We start from the raw sequence: 14,491 nt of genomic DNA on the forward strand, positions 1-14,491 counted from the left end.
AAAGCCTCTGTTTCATTCAAGAAAAAAGGAGACATTACACTGTTTCTTTCTTCATAGGGTTATTGTGCAGATTGAATGAGATAACGAATACAAAGGATTTAGCACATGCCTTAAAAATGTGTATTAGGTTATATTTTTTAAATGTCAGCTATACAAGTTAGATTACCATTATTTTAACAGTTCGTCTAATTCATTCTTGTGACATCTATTAGTTGTTTTTTATTTAGCCTTTCAGCCACTCTTGTCTCTCTGACTTGTTTGAAAGCCTTTAAAGCTTGGATCGTGTTTTGTTCCTTTGTATCCTCTTACACATAGCACAGGTTTTCCAAAAATATTTGTTGAGTTGATTTCATTTCATAATGTGTTCTCTTTAAATAGCAACCAGAAGCACAATTCAAAATAAACTGTAGATTTTGATAATGAATTTCTTTTCTTGTGATTAGTGGCTCTTTGTCTTGCTTTTGTCCTGAGCCTATGTTTTGAGATAACACTTGGGGGCAGCATTGAGTCAGTCTGCACTTCCCCTGTTGTGAACTAGAAGGAAATATGAAATCCAAAGGTAGGGGCTGACAGATAGGAAATGAATGTCTCCAAATACATCAGTAGCTTTAAAATGACTGTGCACTTTGCTACAGAAATCTATTTAAAAGCAGCACACCCTTCTGCAGATCTCAGGGGAGCTCTTGAGGATAAATGACTTGTTTTCTCTCTAACCCTGGGGGGCAATACAAACTGTAAGATGTTTAACCATTTACTCACACAGCAAAATGGAGCAAACCTACAAGCTACATTATAAAGGAAGATAAATTTAGCATGCATTTATGATGTGAAAAAGCACAGCTACTGCTCTGGTTGTTTAAATACTACATCAGTAATTGCAGTCCATTAAGTCAGTTAAACAAAACAGTGAATTAAAATTTTCCATTAGCCAGATTTTTTGCCCTACAACACTAAAGAGAAGAAAGGTAAATGTAGTAGCACAGCAAGTTGATAGCAGAGGTTCATTTGGTTAAGCAACTTTTTAAAACGTCCTATGCCCTGCACAGATGTTATCCAGTCTCCTATAGCCACAATTACATCACTACAAATATATGCTTAGATAATCTATCAATGTTCAGAATCTTTGCCTCTAGGTACTGCAAGATTCTTACCAGTTATAATAAAACTAGTGTGCCAATTATCTGATAAAACAAAGTACACTTGGTTGTTTCCAAAAAAAATTTTTGTAATGGTACAAAAAAAACTCATAGAAGACACTTTTTTTTTTTTTTTTTTAGCAACTTGGCCCTGTCTCTACCTCTCACCAGAATCTGAAGAAATTGCATATATTTTTGTACCAACAGGGTTCCTATGAAAACCAAATGGAAAAGTACAATAGGATACACCAGTTTCTTCACAGGTCCACAACCTAATTTGTGTTATACCTATTCCCTGATTAGTTACAGAGGTATTTATTCTTTATTTGTTCATTCAACATTCACTGAACATCCAATATGTGTCCAGTACTGGGAATATAAGGATGAATAACACATTATCTATGTTTTTAAAAAGTTCAGTCTAGGAGAAATGAACATACAGACATACACACATCTGCAAATAATTGCAATCACACTGATTTCTTTTGGGCCTGGAATCTCTTATTCTTTTCATAGCTAAACAAAATAACATCTCAGAGTGTAATCTCAAAGAACATAAATCTCTACTTTATGGAAGAGGAAAGTGAAGTCCACAGACAGTAAAGGACATGACCAACCAGCCAGTTAGTGCAAAGCCAATAAAGGAACTTGTTGACTCCCAACCGATGTGTTTCCACCACATAATATTATTACCCTTTTATATGGTTTGGCTGTGTCTACCCAAATCTCATCTTGAATTGTAGATCCCATAATGCCCATGTTGAGGGAGGGACCTGGTGGGAGGTAATTGAATAATGGGGGAGAGTCTCGTGATAGTGAATAAGTCTCACAAGATCTGATGTTTTTATAAAGGAGAGTTCCTCTACACACGTTCTTTTGCCTGCCACCATGTAAAGATGTGCCTTTGCTCCTCCTTTGCTTTCCGCCATGATTGTGAGGCCTCCCCAGCCATGTGGAACTCTGAGTCAATTAAAACTCATTCCTTTATAAATTACCCAGTCTCAGGTATGTCTTTATTAGCAGCATGAGAACAGACTAATATACCCCTGCATGTGAGATTGTTGAGATAAGGCATTATAGCTTGTATGTCCTTGTATTTTCGAAGTCTCTAGTAGAAATCTTTAATAAACATTTATTTATTGACTTTAATATCTCTCCTGCTGTCATCTGTCCAGATATAAATCTCACCATTATGAAAGCTTTCATAAGGCAGCTAACTTTTAAATTGTTTAGTCTTTGAGATTATTCTCAGTTGACCAAAGCAGACATTTTCCTTTCACTAATGCTCAATTTCCCAAGGCTTGGCCTTGGGAATTGATTGAGGACAGGCTAATAATGGGCATTCACATATGAGTGCATCTGAATTCGACCTTGCATTACCTTTCATACTTTTCCACCTACTTCCAACCAACAAGATCTCTCTATTTATATTCTGGGGATTTAACATTTAAGGCCAAATCACAAAAAGCCTGTTGGGTAGTTTGTGCTTCTGCATATCTAGTAGTATGCTGGAAAATATTTAATAATAGATCTAGGAGAGGAAAAAAAGGCCTGATAAATAGCATTTGCCAATTTCCATGGTGTAAATACTTTCACCATGGTAAATTTCATCCTACCAATGTATCAGTGCATACTGAACTCAGCACAGAGAAGAAATATACACAATCTGCTCTCACTAATCAGTGCAAGCCAGCTCCAGCTAACAACTGCCCCACTGCTCTCAACATGAAGACTCAGCAGTGATCTGTCCTCACTTCTGCTGCCTGACGCTCTTGTCATTGCTTAGCTATATGAGAGACTGCTAGGTTCGGCTTGTAGGGTTGGTAAGTGCAATCAGCAATAGGCCTGATTGTAAGACAGATTTTGAACTTGGTAGGAATATAGGGGGAGAATCAGTTATTAAACTAAATTAACCCTTTTCCTGTTTGCTCTGGGAATACTTGCCGGCGGGCTTTCAGCTGCAGTGTTTACCCCAAGATAACTTTGCCACAAAATATCTCACTTTTATTATTATTTTTGCATCACTCTGGTATATCGACTTGAGAAGCAAAAGACATCATTCTATTTATAGCATTCTGTTTTTAGTAGTAGTATTTCCATTTACAAAACACAGTAATTCTCAACCACTGAAAATGTCAAATCCTAGAAAATGTAGCATTCCTACACATGATGTTAACATCATTCTCTAACAGTTGGCTGAAGATTCATTTGATGAATCCGATTTTTCCAAAATAGATGATTCTAATGATTCAGATGATTCTGATGTTAGTTCTGTTTAGAAATAACTCCAAGAACAGTTTTTATATTTCATTTTCACATTGAAAATGAGTCAGATTTGCTTCAGCCTCAAAGAGGGCGTTTACGTAAAATTAAATGAATGCTGATAGCAAGCTGCATTTTTTTTATGGGAAAAGATTTAACTTATGAAATTAATGAAGATATAAGAGAAAGGAGGCAACTAACTACACTCACCTGATAATTATTATTGTTTTGACATACAGGTATCGCTGATACCCTTTGTGTGAAAACAATCGAGAAAGTGCTGGCTGAAATTACAGATGGAGGCTGGACTCTAAAAACCAACAGATGCCTCAAGGGTTTGAATCTGCAGCTTTAGCTAATCAGACCGGGCTACAGTGTTGAAATTCAAGAGGCAAAGAGAAGAACAGCAAAAGGGATAGTGAGAAAGACTTGAGGGTAGAGACGCAATGTTTGAGCAGCAAATTTATTTACATGTTTGCTCAGCCAGTCAGCCAATGGGTGTTTATGCACCCTCCAAATCCCTATGCTGAAGTCCTAACTCCCAATGTGATTGTTACAGGAAAGTGGTCCCTATACAGACTCCAAGAGAGGGTTCTTCGATCTTGTGCAAGAAAGAAGTCAGTGTGAGTCCATAGAGTAAAGTGAATGCAAGTTTATTAGGAAAGTAAAGGAGAAAAGAATGGCTACTCCATAGACAGAGCAGCCCCAAGGGCTGCTGATTGCCCATTTTTATGGTTATTTCTTGATGATATGCTAAACAAGGGGTGGATTATTCATGCCTCCCCTTTTTAGACCATATACAGTAACTTCCTGACGTTATCATGGCATTTGTAAACTGTCATGGCGCTGGTGGGAGTGTAGCAGTGAGGACAACTAGAGGTCACTCTCATCACCGTCTTGGTTTTGGTGGATTTTGGCTGGCCTCTTTACTGCGACCTGTTTTATCAGCAAGGTCTTTATGACCTGTGTCTTATGCGGACTTAGGCAGACTTCCTATCTCATCCTGTGACTTAGAATGCCTTAACTGTCTGGGAATGCAACCCAGTAGGTCTCAGCTTCATTTTACCCAGCCCCTATTCAAGATGGAGTTGCTGTGGTTCATACACCTCTGGCATGATGAAAACAGGTGGGACCTTTGGGAAATGGCTAGGCCAGGGGACTGAAGCCCTCATCATGGGATTAGTGCCCTTATAAAAAGAACCCAGAAAGCTTGTTCTGTCTCTTCCACATGAGGACAACGGCAAACCAGGAAGCAGGCCCTCCACAGAGCCGAATTTGCTGGCACCTTGATCTTGACTTCCAGCCTCCAGCACTGTGTGAAATAGATGTCTGTTGTTTAAACCTCCCACTCCTTGATAATTTGTTATAATCAGCCAGAGTTGACTAGGACAATGGGTATTTATTGAGAATACTTTTCTGCGTTCCTACGAATTTGGAATTTTAGAAAAGGATCTCAAGGGACATCGAAAGGAAAAGAATTGACACTAAGATATTTGTTCTATAGAACATCATGCAAATATCAATCCCCTGTTCTCCTTCCCAATTCCAACTCTGGGGCTGTGAAAATGATACTGGTGGGCTAGGGGAGGTCCCCAAATGCTGGTGGGACCTTGACGCCAGCTGGTGACCAGGCTCTCGATACTGTTGAGAGAAGGAATTCAAGGATGAGTCGGAAAATAGTGCACACTCAAGAAGAGTGAGTGCGGGTGGACTCAAGAGAGAGTCATGCAGTGTTTGGGGCTGCTACCTTTATGGGTTTTTTAAACCAAGGGGTGGAATATTCATGAAAATTCCCAGAAAAAAAGATGGCAATTTCTCAGAATTGTGGTGCCACCCATTTTTACACTAAATATGGGTGGTCTCAGGACTGTCACAGCGCTGGTGGATGTGTGATTAGTATGCTAATGAGCATTTAATGAGGTCCTAGGTGAAACCTAGGTCAAATCCAACGCCATGTTGGGTCCAGTCAGTCTTAGCCAGCTTGGTCCACACTCTGGTGTTTCAGAGTCTTATCAGCCCATAGCCTCTAGTCATGTGAAACTGCTGCCTGGAATTTTTTATTCTCCTGTGACCACCCTGTATTATTCCTGTGTCAGAAACAGCAAGGAAAATGATCTGCACCTCAGTCTGATCTAATGGATCCAATCGCAGCTGGGTTATCAATGTCCAGGAGAAGGAGCCTCTGCCTTTTTCCAGGGGAGATTCTTTAGCAACAGGCTTTATTGCCATCACCAGCCCAACCGGAGTTAGCCCGAAAGTGACAATCCCTAAAGTTCTCAAACATTGAGCTTGGACTTAGATGTTTACTCAAGACCAGAGAAACCTTCATTTACATCCTTACCTGGCCCTTTCCAGGGTCCCCTCTGCTGCAGGGTATTTGTCTAACAGTGCCCTCTACGCAAGACTGCATCAGGGCTGCACTTTCTGGACCTCTCCTTTCCTGTGGCTGTAACATGGTGGGTTTCTGCATGACCATGTCTGATAGTAATCCTCAACAGGCTGACTGTCTTCCAAAAACCATACATGCACTCTGTTCAAAGATATGCCCTGACTCCTATGCTTCCTTTACATTATAACTCTACACAAATTTAAATGTTTATATTACCTTTAAATTGCATCTCTAAACAGAGCTGCCTGATTTTTTCATTGTCCTTATATTTTTAATTCTGTTTTTTGAATTTAGATTCTGAAGTGTATTTTATTACCTAGAATACATATTAGTGGATTTTATGGTAATGTGTGTCCTCATGCTTTTGAAATAGAAGAAGAAATTATTTAGGCAGATAGGGTAAAGAAGTCCTCAGTGAGGTTTTCCTTTTAAAGAAAAGCAGTCCCAAATCATGTTCTTTTCTAACAAAGAGTAGCCAGTAAAATTGAGCTGAAGACAGAAAGGCAGGTTAGAAGGCTGCATAGGTGAATGCCGGCAGCTATGCCAATAGGAAAAGGCTACCTGGGACTAGGCTTGTTCAAAATGGTGGCTCCATCTTCTCTTCTCTTTGCCAGTCACGTGTACAGAAAGGGGCAGGCAACATGGCCCCCACCAGGCAATACCCCATTTGCATAATAAGATTAGGGTGGAGTGGCCAGCTTCCCTGCGCGTTATGTAAACATCGCACCTGGTCCAACCTATCTTTGGGCTCTGTGTAAATCAGACACCGCCTCCTCAAGCTTGTCTATAAAATCCGGTGCACTCCACCACAAGCCAGAAGTCCCATTTGAGCACCCCTCTCTCTTGCAAGACAGAGAGCTACTCTCCTTTCTCTTTCTTTTGCCTATTACACCTCTGCTCCTAAACCCACTTCTTGTGTACGCTTACTCGATTTCCTTGTCGTTAGATGACAAATCTCCAGTATTATCCCAGACAGTGACGCCGCTTCACTTTTAATCCTTAACAGCATGTATTAACAACCCCACATATTCTGATGTCCATGTGCTCTTTCCTGCCTGCCTGGTATATGACATCTTCCCACTGGCAGCTAAACCAAGGAACACCCACGATTGTAACGACTGGTCCATACTCTTTGGTTGTAAGGAGATATCTTGGGCATGAGTCAATAAAACCTGAAACAAGGGAGGGAGATATTTTGGAAGAAAAAAATGTATTTCTTCCACTCATCTTTCTCAAATTGTGGTGGAGACAGGAGACAGGAGGGAAACTGCTCAACAAGTTGAGGAAACTAGTGAGGATTAGTGCTTGTTTGATATGTTCTCTGGTAGTTGGCATTTCACAGAAATGTTGGTGAGGGGTCATAGGGCAGTGCGTGTGCATGTGTGTGTGCATGTGTGTGTATCTGCTGTGAGGCTGACAGCCTTGGGTTTCCCAAAGGCTCAGAGGTAAAGTTAGGGCAGAATCCTAGCCAAAGAAACTACATCTATTGTGAAAGACACGTGACTGTGGATAGTTCCTGTGCACTAACAGATAAATTCCCCCTGAACCCTAGGAGATGCTTTCCAAAAAGTCAAGAAGGGACAGTCTTCACTTGACTGAATTTGAGAATTGTGGAATTAGACCTTGATCGGAGTGTAAAATAGAGAACAAAATATGATGCAGAGACAGATTGACTGAGAAATTGTTGGACTAGATAGAAGAAAAATCTCAGAAGTGACTAAGTTACACTTTACACCAAGAGTAGAATTAGCCACTGAGAATCAAAAGTCAACTTGAGTTACAGAGATAAAGAAAGCAGTATCTCCAGAAACCTGAGTCTTGTCAATTATCATGACCATGAGAATGTATATGTCACTCACACATATAATCCATTGTAAGCTATTTAGTGTCATATTCCCCAAAATATTACATAATCCATTGTAAACTATTTAGTGTCATATTAGTCAAAATAATGCCTCCAGCTTCCTGCCCCCCTAGTATGAATGAGGTTGATGGAATATTGACTCTATTTTCAATCACTTAAAGAGCATTGATGTTAGTGCTGTTTAGACACCGACTTCATTGTCTACTGCATTTATATCACCTCTGATTCTTTCTGGTAGATGATAATTCTGAGTTTAAGTGTGGAGGAAAGAAATGCTTATTGACATAGGTTCATCTTCTAAACATCAGCTGTGAAAGGAGATAACAAGTCATTTTATATGCTTGTAAGCAAATACGCATTTAATTTCCTTACCCATTAAGGATTCTCAAATCACCATATAGATTGTCTTTCCGAGTAGATAAAAACACCCAGAGACAAGGAGGCTGGATGTGTTTTAGTGGGTCTGAGTGATGCTAGGGGGCCATAAGGACCGACTACTATGGCAAGCATGGTTTTAAAATGGACCTGGATATGCTTGTCTTGTGTAAAAGGACTTTTATTTACTGAGTTCCAAAAGAGAAATGAGTGTGGGGTGAGAGCGAGAGAGAACATGAGAGAGAGAAAATAGAAGGGAGGGAAAAAAAATCCAACTTAATACATCAAAGACTGCTTGTAAAAAAATCCAACTTGATACATCAAAGTAGAAGAACTGACCTTAAGAATCATTGCATCCTTTGGCAAGGGACGATGAGGCTGAATTGTCTCCAACTGGTGTCTGATGAGGGAATAAGATAATCAGACAAGCAAAAAAACTTCATCCTTTTTAAGGCTTTAGATTAAAAGCCTTAAATATTCTTCTCAAATATTGCCACGTCAATTGTTTACCTAAATCTGAAATATTTGCTAATTATAAATACTTTAAGACAATGTTTAAAAATCTTTCTGATTTTGAATATCTTTGTCCTGCTTGTCCAGAGCCTTTGAAATATCTGTTTCACAAGTAAAGCAATTTTACCCCCACCCTACTCACCCTAGATGAATGCCTGATCATCTTTCTGTTAAAGTGTAGTCCCCTGCACATGGATGCTCTTACCAGAACACCAGTGCTGTCATTTACATTCCATGAGGAACCCAGGAATTTAACCAAGCCTTCGCGGAGGCTCTGAAGCCAGCCCTACCATTTCTGTATTCATTTATTTGTTTACATCACAACTGAATTCTAATTATTATCATTATTTATTTCCCTTTTCCTCATCTTTCTTTGATAATGTGTGAAGCCAAGGATAGGCAGGAACCCCAAGTTCTCTCTCTCCTGGGATTGTCACAAAATTCCCCCTCTCCCCATCGCATCTATTTTTTGTTTGTTTTCTTTTCTTCCCAAAGAGGGAAAAATACCATGGGCTTTAGAGGAATCATCGCTCACTGTGGGAACCTTGCCCCCTCCCCAAGCCACCCCACTGTGCCCATAAACGTGCTGCCTGTAACCAATTGTTCCTGTTGAATAACAATGCGAGCTGAGGGGCTTTTTCTGCCTGAGCTGCAAATAGATTAGGCTGCTCCCTTTTATGTGTGCAAAGACATTACCCAGAAGCCCCCAGGATGCCATTATCAGCCGCCAACAGATGGAGCCTATCTGCGCGCTGTCAATCATCCCCCACCTGTGGATCGCGCAGCCCAGCCAAAAAATTAATTGCTTAGAAATATAAAATCGGTGGACTCAGATCGGAAAGGATTAGGAGAAAAAAGGTTAAGCGAGGGGAAGAAGCCGTGCTGTGCCAGAGAACCTTATCAACGTCGGCCTATCTAAGAGTCTGACGTACTCAGCGTTTGATTTGGTTTTCAAATACAGGAAGGACAGCAGGATTAGAACTAGAAATGTCTGGGAAGAAAAAGAAAAGGCAATTCACAAGAAGCAATAATGCCCATTGCTTCAGATTGGGTCATTCACATGTGTTATGAAGAAAACAGAAAATTTGTTTTCTCTCTTTTTTATTTTTTGCTAGTGCAATTTCACATTTAATTTATATGGCTTTATTCATTCTTCATTTATTTCATTTGCCATATTTTTTGGTGCCAGCAGGGAGACTTTGTTCTGTTTTCCACAATGGTTGTATGGGACTATTTTTATAATTCATATTTTCTTGTTTCCCTTACAGGGTTGTTTAAAAAAAAAAAAAAAAACAGAAAATAGTAGTTCTGATTCCAATCTGTCTAAGCCAAACAGTTTAACAAGGGATGATTTTTCCTCATAGTGTGACCTTTACTCCTTTATTTTTTAAAATTTCAGTTACCTGCAAAATGAAGCTAAAAATGATTGCCAAGATCTCTTCCAGCTCTTAAAATGCAAGACTCTAAAAATCAGTTTCCAAAGGTATTTAGAAATGACTTAGACAAGATATCTGGAATATGGAAATAAGGGAGATACGGAAAGCAGAATCGCTAAAAGGATTATGTGTTGCATTATCAAACGTAGCACTCCTTTTTTGGAAATTTCTCTGATGGAATAACAAAAATCATTATTACCAAGGTCGTACTGAGAGGCATCAATAGCTTTAGTAATTTTGATGTAGTTGGTGCTGTCATTACTAACTTGTTAAAATTAAATACAATTTTTGTTAATGTTTTCCTTTATTTTAGTTTTAAAACAAATGTATCCTCAACTCCAGCATAGCAAAGCAGTGCATATTCTAGATCTGAATTGAAATAACCAGTTTATCTTTTCAAACAGACACTTAGGGGCAATTTAATTCAATTAAGAATGAATTAATTCAACAAACTTTTATCATATGTCAACTTCTAGCATATGCTGGAAATAAAATATTCTGTCTTTCCTTAAGGTATTTAAAATCTAGTAGGAGTTAGAATAAAAACAATTGCATGACTAAAAATGATTTAAAAATGCATTTAATTGTTATACATCTAATATACTGATGTTCAAAATAACCCTGCAAAGCATCACGATTATTCTGTTTTACACAAGAAAACATTGAGTTCAGTGAGGTTAGGTGGCTTGTCCAAAGCCAAACAGGCTGGCAATGTCAGGGCTTCACTTTGAGTTCAGATCTCTCTACACTGCACCCTATCTATAACACTAGGTAATACATTATTATTTTTATAGGAGAGATATAAAATGGAGTTCAGAGATGTGGTAAAGATCAGTGCTGGCCAGGTGTGGTGGCTCACACCTGTAATCCCAACACTTGGGAGCCGAGGCAGGCGGATCACTTGAGGTCAGGAGTTCAAGACCAGCCTGACTAACATGGTGAAGCCCCATCTCTACAAAAAATTAATGGGGTGTGGTGGTTTATGCCTGTAGTTCCAGCTACTCAGGAGGCTGAGGCACAAGAATCACTTGACCCTGGGAGGCCAGAGCTTGCAGTGAGCTGAGATCACCTGGTCAATCAAGTGAAACTCCATCTCAAAAATAAAAATAAATAAAAATAAATCGGTGCTGAAAACATTTTAAGGAGGAATGTAGTTGACTTTAAGAAGCTATGTAAATCGGCCGGGTGCGGTGGCTCATGCCTGTAATCCCAGCACTTTCGGAGGCCGAGGCGGGTGGATCTCGAGGTCAGGAGATTGAGACCATCCTGGCTAACATGGTGAAACCCCGTCCCTACTAAAAAAATACACACACACACACAAAAATGAGCCAGGCGTGGTGGCGGGTTTCACTCGAGTCCATGTGAAGAGACCACCAAACAGGCTTTGTGTGAGCAACATGGCTGTTTATTTCACCTGGGTGCAGGCGGGCTGAGTCCGAAAAGAGAGTCAGCGAAGGGAGATAAGGGTGGGGCCGTTTTATAGGATTTGGGTAGGTAAAGGAAAATTACAGTCAAAGGGGGTTTGTTCTCTGGTGGGTAGGAGTGGGGGTCACAAGGTGCTCAGTGGGGGTGCTTTCTGAGCCAGGATGAGCCAGGAAAAGGACTTTCACAAGGTAATGTCATCAGTTAAGGCAAGGACCGGCCATTTACACTTCTTTTGTGGTGGAACGTCATCAGTTAAGGTGGCGCAGGGCATAAGCTGCTTCAAGCGGGATTAGGGGCGGCATGGGAACCTAGAGTGGGAGAAATTAAGCTGAAAGGAGATCTTGTGGTAAGGGATGATATTGTGGGGTTGTTAGAAGAAACATTTGTTGTATAGAATGATTGGTGATGGCCTGGATATGGTTGTGTATGAACTGAAAAACTAAATGGAATAAGAAGGAGAAAAACAGGTATAAAAGGTCTAAGAATTGGGAGGACCTAGGACATCTGATTAGAGAGTGCCTAAGGAGATTCAGCATAGTCCTGCCAGCAAAGATTATTTATTTACTTCAAGGGTTAAGAGTGGCGGTTTGGGGATAGCACGAGGAGATATCAGCTGTGACGGCTTGGAGAAACAGTGTAAACCGGCAGTGTAAACAAGAACAGGGCATGTATGAGTAGTTGAGAACAGAGGAGTAGGACTAGACAGAAAATAGTAGGGATGACAAGTTTTTTTGTGGGCACAGTCTAAGTTGGTCCGGTGTCTGGAATGAGACTGGGGCCTAATAAAAAGGACCAACTATACAGGAGCTTAAATGGGCTGTACCTTGTAGCATTCCGAGGACAGGCCTGAATTCTGAGAAGGGAAAGTGATAAAAGTATTGTCCAGTCCTTTTTGGTGGCTGAGCTTGGTGAGGTGTGTTTTTAAAAGACCTTCAGTCCATTCTACCTTTCTTGAAGATGGAGGACTGTAAGGGATATAAAGGTTTCACTGAATACTAAGAGCCTGAAAAACTGCTTGGCTGATTTGACTAATAAAGGCTCATCTGTTATCAGACTGTATTGAGGTGGGAAGACTAAACTGAGGAATTATGTCTGACAGAACGGAAGAAATGACTGCGGTGGCCTTCTCAGACCCTGTAGGAAAGGCCTCTACCTATCCAGTGAAAGTATCTACCTAGACTAAGAGGTATTTTAGTTATCTGACTTCAGGGCATGTTGAGTAAAGCTAATTTGCCAGTCCTGGGTGGGGCAAATCCTCGAGCTTGATGTGTAGGGAAGGGAGGGGGCCTGAATAATCCCTGAGGAGTAGTAGAATAGCAGATGGAACACTAAGTTATTTCCTTGAGGATAGATTTCCACGATGGAAAGGAAATGAGAGGTTCTGAGAGGCGGGCTAGTGGCTTGTACTATAGCACAGCCTGCCTTTGCTGGTATGTGGCGATTAGGCCTGGTGGAACTGCCATCAATAAATCAAGCGTGATCAGGGTGAGGAACAGGAAAGAAGGAAATATGGGGAAATGGGGTGAATATCAGGTGGATCAGAGAGATACAGTCGTGGGGGTCAGTTGTGGTATCAGGAATAATGTGGGAGGCTGGATTGAAGTCTGGGCCAGGAACAATGGTAATTGTGGGAGACTCAACAAAGAGTGAGTACAGCTGAAGGAGCCGGGAAGCAGAAAGTATATGCGTCAGGTATGAGGAAGAAAATAGATTTTGGAAGTTATGAGAACTGTAGAGAGTGAGTTGAGCATAGTTTGTGATTTTTAGGGCCTCTAAAAGTATTGAAGCAGCGGCAGCCGCTGCATGCAGACATGAGGGCTAGGCTAAAACAGTAAGGTCAAGTTGTTTGGACAGAAAGGCTACAGGGTGTGGTCCTGGCTCTTGTGTAAGAATTCTGACCACGCTAACCATGCCTAGGAAGGAAAGGAGTTGTTGTTTTGTAGAAGGTGCTTGGGTTTGAGAGATCAGTCGGACACGATTGGCAGGGAGAGCACATGTGTTTTTATGAGAATTATGCTGAGATAGGTAACAGTTGAGGAAGAAATTTGGGCTTGATTCAAGTAATGGGGGCTGTCTGTGAAGCTTTGCGGCAGTACAGCCTAGGTAATTTGCTGAGCTTGATGGGTGTCAGGGTCAGTCCAAGTGAAAGCGAAGAAAGGCTGGGATTAAGGGTGCAAAGGAATAGTAAAGAAAGCATGTTTGAGATCTAGAACAGAATAATGGGTTGTAGAGGCAGGTATTAAGGATAGGAGAGTATATGGGTTTGGCACCACAGGGTGGATAGGCAAAACAATTTGGTTGATAAGGCGCAGATCCTGAACTAACTTGTAAGGCTTGTCTGGTTTTAGGACAGGTGAAATGGGGGAATTGTAAGGAGAGTTTATAGGCTTTAAAAGGCCATGCTGTAGCAGGCGAGTGATAACAGGCTTTAATCTTTTTAAAGTGTGCTGTGGGATGGGATATTGGCGTTGAGTGGGGTAAGAGTGATTAGGTTTTAATGAGATGGTAAGGGGTGCATGATTGGCCGCCAAGGAGGGAGTAGAGGTGTCTTATACTTGTGGGTTAAGGTGGGGGGATACAAGAGGATGATGCAAAGGAGGCTTTGGATTGGGAAGAAGAGCGGCAATGAGATATAGCTGTAGTCCAGGAATAGTCAGGGAAGCAGATAATTTAGTTAAAGTGTCTCAGCCTAATAAGGGAACTGGGCAGGTGGGGATAACTAAAAAGGAGTGCTTAAAAGAGTATTGTCTAAGTTGGCACCAGAGTTGGGGAGTTTTAAGAGGTTTAGAAGCCTGGCCGTCAATACCCACAACAGTTATGGAGGCAAGGGAAACAGGCCCTGGAAAAGAAGGTAATGTGGAGTGAGTAGCCTCCGTATTGATTAAGAAGGGGACAGGCTTACCTTCCTCTGTGAGAGTTACCCGAAGCTTGCCATCCGTGATGGTCTAGGGGGCTTCCGAGGTGATCGGGCAGTGTCAGTCTTCAGCCGGTAAGCCAAGAAGGAGTCAGAGAGCCTAGGGCCAGAGTTCCAGGAGCTCTGGGAGTGGCTGCCAGGTGAGTTGAACAGTCCGATTTTCAGTGGGGTCCCACA

The 14,491-nt window shown here is 41.0% G+C and overlaps 1 annotated feature.

Annotated features, from left to right (window-relative positions):
• Window positions 8,598–9,213: an enhancer, noted in NCBI's record as "OCT4-NANOG-H3K27ac hESC enhancer chr10:26055160-26055775 (GRCh37/hg19 assembly coordinates)". NCBI's record gives its function as "activates a minimal SCP1, AML or CMV promoter by ChIP-STARR-seq in naive H9 embryonic stem cells {active_cell/tissue: H9 hESC(naive)}" and the evidence as "EXISTENCE:reporter gene assay evidence [ECO:0000049][PMID:30033119]".

The sequence above is a fragment of the Homo sapiens genome, chromosome 10 (assembly GCF_000001405.40).
Source record: "Homo sapiens chromosome 10, GRCh38.p14 Primary Assembly".
In the NCBI taxonomy this organism is placed as follows: Eukaryota; Metazoa; Chordata; class Mammalia; order Primates; family Hominidae; genus Homo; species Homo sapiens.